This window comes from Homo sapiens, chromosome 3, assembly GCF_000001405.40.
Source record: "Homo sapiens chromosome 3, GRCh38.p14 Primary Assembly".
NCBI classification, from domain to species: Eukaryota; Metazoa; Chordata; class Mammalia; order Primates; family Hominidae; genus Homo; species Homo sapiens.
In genome coordinates, this window is record NC_000003.12 from 101,122,129 (window position 1) to 101,129,390 (window position 7,262).

The 7,262-nt window shown below is 37.2% G+C and overlaps 1 annotated feature.

Moving 5' to 3' along the window:
• Window positions 6,737-6,951: a silencer, noted in NCBI's record as "fragment chr3:100847709-100847923 (GRCh37/hg19 assembly coordinates)". NCBI's record gives its function as "represses an EF-1alpha promoter that drives an FKBP-Casp9 reporter gene in an ReSE screen in HepG2 liver carcinoma cells {active_cell/tissue: HepG2}" and the evidence as "EXISTENCE:reporter gene assay evidence [ECO:0000049][PMID:32094911]".

A 7,262-nucleotide genomic window follows, 5' to 3' on the forward strand; every position in this document is an offset into this window, starting at 1 on the left:
TGCCTCTGTTTCCTTACTACCCACTTAGTCCTTGCATCCTTGAAACTCTTTATCTATAGAAATTGCCAATACAAGTTACTGTTGAGTTCCATCAAATAAGTTTTTTTAAGAAAGAATCCCATTATAATGTAAACTATTTTAGAAAAATCAAATCCAGCCTCATGCTAGAGAACAATACATCATGTCATAGTTGGTTTTATCCCCAAAACACAAGAAGAGTTTCCTATTAGGGCATTATTAAAATAATTCATCACATCAGTCAAAGGAGGAAAAATGATGTGATTATTATAAAATTCATAAAATAATTACTGATTTTAACAAATCTTAGAAAATGAATAAGACTCATGGCTTCTTGTGATAAGGATCCTCTTAGATTGAACATTTGACAGAATTGTGCATGTGAACCTGGCCAGATGTTTTGCTGCTTGACTATGCCACCCACCTATGATGAGGGATTTGTGTCTAGGTTACACAACCATAGATGCTGTGATAAAAAGCTGGCAACACAATACCCTAATTGCTTCCAAGAAAACTAAGTAAACACAGTGTCATCTCATGGTATAGTTGGAGAAGGGCAATGATTCTCTAACCTAGCTGCACATTAAAATCACCTGGCCGACTTTTAAAACATACTGACACAGGAAGTACAGGACTCACCTCAGAGATTCAGATTCAATTCACCTAAAGTAAGGCCAAGGCCTTTTTGTTTTTAAGTTTCCCAGGTATATAGTACAACCGACCCTTGAACAGGGCAGGGATTAGGGGCACTGACTCATACAGTTGAAAATCCACATAGGACTTTTGACTCTCCACATAAACTTAACTAATAGTCTACTGTTAACTGGAAGCCTTACCAATAACATAACTCAGTTAGCACATATTTGGTATGTTATATGTATTATATACTGTATTCTTGCAATAAAGTAATCTGGAGAAAAGAAAATGATATGAAGACAATCACAAGGAAGAGAAAATATATTTACTGTTAAGCATAAGTGGATCATCACAAAGATCTTCATCCTTGTCATCATCACACCGAGTAGGGAAGGAGGAAGAAGAGGGGTTGGTCTTGCTGTTTCAGGGATGGCAGAAGTGGAAGAAAAACCTCATATAAGTGGACCCAGGCAGTTCAAACCTGTGTTGTTCAAAGGTCAACTGTATTTCATCATAAAACAAAGGGGATGTGATTTATTCCTTGGCAGCTGCAAATCTGTGGCGTGGGAAGGCTTTTGAAAACTAATGGTAATTTTCCCTCTCATCAAAGATATACAATCTTCTAAATTGAACAGTCCTACTCAATAATTCAGAAAGTAAAGAAACACCTTTCTTCAGGACATATCTGGTTTCTGGTTATGTACTTACTTCAAAAGCTATGTTTTTAGTCCCTCTGAACTTTATTTTTTATTTTATTTTATTTTTGAGACAGAGTTTCACTCTTGTCCCCCAGGCTGGAGTGCAATGGCATGACCTCAGCTCAGTACAACCTTCGCCTCCCGGGTTCAAGCGATTCTCCTGCCTCAGCCTCCCGAGTATTTGGGATTACAGGCACACACCACCGTACCTAGCTAATTTTTGTAACTTTAGTAGAGATGGGGTTTCACCATGTTGGCCAGGCTGGTCTCAAACTCCTGACCTCAAGTTATCTGCCCGCCTTGACCTCCCAAAATGCTAGGATTACAGGCATGAGCCCACCATGCCCAGTCCCTCTGCACTTTAAAATCCTCTTACACTTCAACATCTTCACCTTCCCATGACTTCATAGCTAACCTTTATAATTTTAAAACTATTACTCTCTTCAACAAAAGAAGGCAAAGGCAATGACTAATTAGTTAGAGAAACTTCAAATTTGTATTTTTGAAGGCAGGAGTAGAGGACTTACAAGATTAGACAAGGCACATGGCATACATTCATGTTGGCATAACAAGAGCTCTTGAATTGTTTTTCCAAGTCAATGTGTTTGCCAGGTAAAAGAAAAAAGGGAAAAAAAACTGCCAGGGAGGCAGGAATATTTCAGCATGAACTCCTAGCTGTTTCATACATAAGCACAAAAACATCTTCACACTGAGTACATAAACTCTACTAAAGCACTCTCTCTGAAGAGAAAAACATCCTTCAACCTTGATGCTATTTCTCTAATGACTTAGGAATGTGATCTCTAATCACCACTGAAAGCCGCACAGCAAATGCCCTGGGCTGGGTTTACATCCTACAGTGTTTTGTTCGATTTCTTAATTTTTGCAAAATTCTTTGAACTTTTACTATGTTTATTCTACTTAAACTAGATGGTTTGAACTAGTTCCTCACAAGCCAGGAATGTCCCTTTGTATCTTTATCCCATAGCAACTGGTACCAATTAGCACTCAATAATAACTCAACAACAGTTGCTTAAAATCTTCTTCTTCTTCACCCTAAAGCAAGATCTCACATGAATACAAACCTAAATAAACAGTCCTTGGGTAAAGAGCATCTCCTCAAACTCTATTTGTTGGAAGACTCTGTCCTGTTAAGATACGCAGTTATAGGAGAAAATGGAGGGGCAACCACAAGTGGTAGACAAGGTGGCTTATTCATTTTGGGAGCATAAGAAGAAAGCTCCCTTGCTTTCTCCATTCTCCAGCAATCTCCATTGCCATAAGTGGCTTCAAATGGCACCAGAAACAGCCAACACCACCAAGGGAGGAGACCAAATCCCAGAAGGAGAATAGGCTGAGTGACTGTGGCTGTCATATTGATTTGTGGCTAGATGAGCCTCCTTTGGAGGAAACCCAGAAATATTAGGAGAAAAGATCCCTTTGAAAGGTATGGAAAGTCTTACACAGGGAACTGGAGGCAAAAACAGGAACTCTGACTTGCTACTGTCACTGTGACCCTGTTGTTACCCTCAGGCAGGTGAAATATGGTCATGTTGAGTTGTAACCAAAAGGGAATGCCAGAGATGTACCAGCGTGCTTTCTCCTGATGCTCTTAAGCCCAAAGTCTGCCATTTCTACCCCTCCCAGCTTCCCCAAATTCCTTCTCCAACTGCACAAACCATACATGGGGAAGCATGAGGTTTGCAGAGCCAAGACTCAAACCTTAGTTTGTGTGATGTATTCAAACCCATATACTTGCTTGCTGCCATACATGCTGACATAGGTCAAATGTGCATGAAACTGAAACATAAATTAGACTGCACCTTTTGTGGGATTTACTACTATTAAAAATAAAGTATCCAAAAATGGAAATTCAACAAAAGGAAGGCTGTATATTCTTTTAATGTCATACTGAAACGTCATCTGACGGGTCCACCCAAGAATTATTTAATCTTGTGGGAGATGTACCTTTCTTTGAGTTGCTATATAATGTCGATTCTGTGAGGATATGTAAAAACTTGTAGATTTTTGTCTGGTAGAGATGTAAACAGATTTCTGTTCAGTAGAAAAAACCCCAAAAGTACAATGTTACTGCCCTTTAGAACTTTGGCCAGTTATGCCTCTAACTTAGCCAACTCATTGTAACATGCCATTCCCAACAAACTATATAATGCAAAAGCCCTTTGAATTCATTTATCATCTGCTGTCTCCATCATTGAGTTAAATAAATTTTTTTACAAGATTTCACTAAGTATTTATATGTGTCATGTTAACATTGTTGAAAATTATACTTTGACACTAAAATATACTGCAAAGATTTGAAATAGGAAGTTATTTTATTAAGTAGGGGGCAAGACCAAGGTAAGGTAAGGTTTCATGGATGAAAAGTCACTGATTGGGACCTGGAGGGTTGGAAAAGATTTCACCAGTAGCTGTGGGAAGAAAAGTCATTGCTGGCACAACTTCAAACACATGTTTACATGGAAAGTTGACAAAGAGGTTCTAGCCTGGATAATTTAAAAACACTTACTTTAGATCCATTTCATGTAACCTTCTAAATAAAATGTCATCAAATGGGATTCACCCCTACATGAAAATAATACATTATGATTAAATAGAACTTATTCCACGAGGCAAGGAAGTTTCAACATTTGAAAATCTATCAACATACTAAACTACATCAAGAAATTACAGGAGAAATACCATGTGATATCAATAAATGCAGAAAAAAAGACTCAAAATTAAACCACCATTTCTAATAGAGATACTAAATAGATGAAAACTACTTAAATATAATAAAAATTATCAAGAATCAACAGCAGATACCATTATAAATAATTTTTAAACAAAGCCATTGTCATTAATGTCAAGAACTAGAGAGATGATTGCTACCATCATTATTGATTTACCATTGATAGCAAATGCCACACAAGTTTTAGAAAAAATAAGTATCACGTAAAAGTCATTGGAGAAAAACAAGGTTAATCACTTTACCGACAGGAATATATTAAAAAAAAGAAGAAGAGAGAATTAATATAAATGTGTGAAGTGAATAGGTACAGGATGATTTTTTAATCAATAAATTGTCCTTGTTTAGCAATAACTGAGAAATGGAAACAGGAAAGAATTTCTGTTTTTAATGACAACAATAACAAGAAAAGTGCCTAGGAGTTCATTTAATGAGAATTCGATATGAAGAAAGATCTATATGAAGAAAAGTTGAAATCCTATTGAAATACAAAAAATAGGATAGGAAGAAATTGAAAGATGCATACTATGTTCTTGGTTAGGAATATTATAAAAGTACAGATTCTTCCAAAATTAATACATAAATCTAATGTAATTTCAATTAAAAAACCTAACAGAGATGGTTATATTGTATTAAAGTTTTTATAGAATCTTAATTCCCTTGGATCCTATCTTGTGTTTTAATATTTTCATAGCCTTTATTATCTTCTAGAGGTATATAGGGGTATGTGTGTGTGTGTGTGTGTGTGTGTGTGTGTGTGCGCGTGCATGCATATCACATTTCCGCCAAGGGGAAAGTATGCTGTGGTCTCAAGTTTTCAGTCATCTTCCTACCTCTTCTGTGTGGTAGAAGACCCCAGTGCAACAGAAAACTCTCTTCTGCACTAAAGGAGGCTGAGGAGGGATATTTGCTCTGGTTTGATGATGGAGGGAGGTGGGAGACAGACAGGGAGGGATGAAGAGGGAAAACAATAGTTTCAACTCTATGCTGGAGCTCTCTTATTTTTACTGAAATATCTAAAGGCAGTTTTACTCCTTAACATGATGACTCCCTGTCTTCTACACGATAAATGTACATTCACATTAATATAACTTAAATCTCATTTCTTACAAACAAGTAACCTTAGCCTAAAATAGCATGTGCCTGTCTTGGGAGCTTCCTTACATTGTACACAGTTTTCCTCCCTCAACTGATGATGAAGAACACCTTGTTCAAATGTCCTCTTTCTAATTCCTACTTCTCTCCTCTTGGTCCACAACTGGTTTGCAGTGTGACAGAGGTGTGGCAGCACCTCAGTTCAGGTACCCTCAATAAAATCAACTAAGGAGAAAAATGAACCTTTATAGGTCAAGTTGCCTCCAAAGATGCTTAGAAAGACTAAAGCACTGGGAAGTCTGACACTGACTTCTTGCCCCACTCCAGGTCATTTTGCCCATAATTCTTAGAGACTCCTTTTGCTTCTCAATGACAACATGCGTTTTTCTTGCTTAGTAAAAATGTTATGTAAGCACTGTTTTCTCTCATCAACACATTATTCAGAAAAGGACAGAAAATATTAATGTCTCATTCAAAGATTTCACTATATTGAAACTGCAATTTAAAGTTTTACAGAGGATAACAATTAATTTATTACAAGTCTGTCATTGCAACTTCTTAAAACCACAAATAGTATACTCTCTAGGCACCATTTTCTCTAAATTGTAGGGTTGGGGAGGGAGGCTTGCTGTTTTTTACATAAAAGAACTCTAATAGCTACAAGGACCCCTGTTGAAAATTAGCTTTTGTAAAATCAGCCATCTGTACAGACAGAAAGTACACAGACAGCTTAATTTGCCTAATCGACAACTTTAAACCTTCATTCCCAAACCCATAACACATTCCAACTCATTAAAAGTGGTATTGCCTATGTTTGTTATCTGTGAATAGTGCCAGCTGATGCTACAAAAGATAGCAATCTGAGCAAAGCATCCTTTTTGGGAATAAAACAACAGCTGCTGTCCAGGCAACAGTATTATTTATTATGTTCAATTACTAAAGCAAAAGAAAATATAAAGTGTCTGAAATGGGCCAGCTAATAAACACCCACTATTTACTGCTTAATCACCACCAGGAAATATTTTACATCATAAACAGCTGATAAAGAGAACATTTTTATTATTCTCACTAAACACAGAGGTGTTTCTCAGTCAAGACACTCAATTCATACTTTAAATCCCACTCCTCCTTCAACAAGAATCATTCATGAGCACCTCCTATGTGCCAGGCACTAATCCTTTCTGAGATATCCATATGTTCAACATTTAGTGAGTTCTAAATTTTTCATATTCCAAAACATATGATCGTTTTACATGAAATCTAATTTCTTATGATGTTAATCAGTAGATATATTCTTTAAATTAATGGTCACATTTTAAATCTAATCCCATTAGGTGAATTCATTTTAAGCAAATGTGAATTAGCTCCTACACCATGGACAACACAGATTTCCCTCTGGAATAACTGTCTCCTGAAGTCTTTCATTAAAACTAACCTCAAATAAAGCTCAAGGCAAGAAGAAACCCCCCAAATCGTTTTGCCACTCCAGAACCCACTTTGAAGCCCCAACAAGCGAAATGGAGTTTGAATAGTTAATTATATTCTATTAAACATGCCAATAGCTTTATCAAAATATATGTGTTTGCCAGGTTAGGAAGGCAGGTCGCTTACCTGTTTCCTGATTTCGACTTGCTCTGACAGCAAGGTTATTGGAAAGGTCAGGACACAGCGATGACTCAGTGCTGGGAGTACGTGGGTTTGGAATGGTTTCCTGCCTCTACATGAAGCATCACAGAAAGCCACCAAAATTGTTCGACTTCGGGAAATGGCGGGGGTAAGATGAACCCAGCTGGCAATACAGTAAAACTCACTTTATCCCACAACAGCACAGTCAAGCCAGCCTCCACTTCTGAGCTGTTTCACTAATTTCCTGAAAATCTTCTGAGACCTTATTTCATCTGTTAGAAGACAAACCTGATTTAAGTAAAGTTCAAAATCCTTTGGAGGCACAGGTGTTCAAACTAGAAAACATAAGAATCACCTGGAGTGTCTCATCCCAGTCCTTCTGAATCAATATCTTTGTGGGGTTGCGGGTGGGGAGTGCACTTGTTTATAAGTATTTCGGA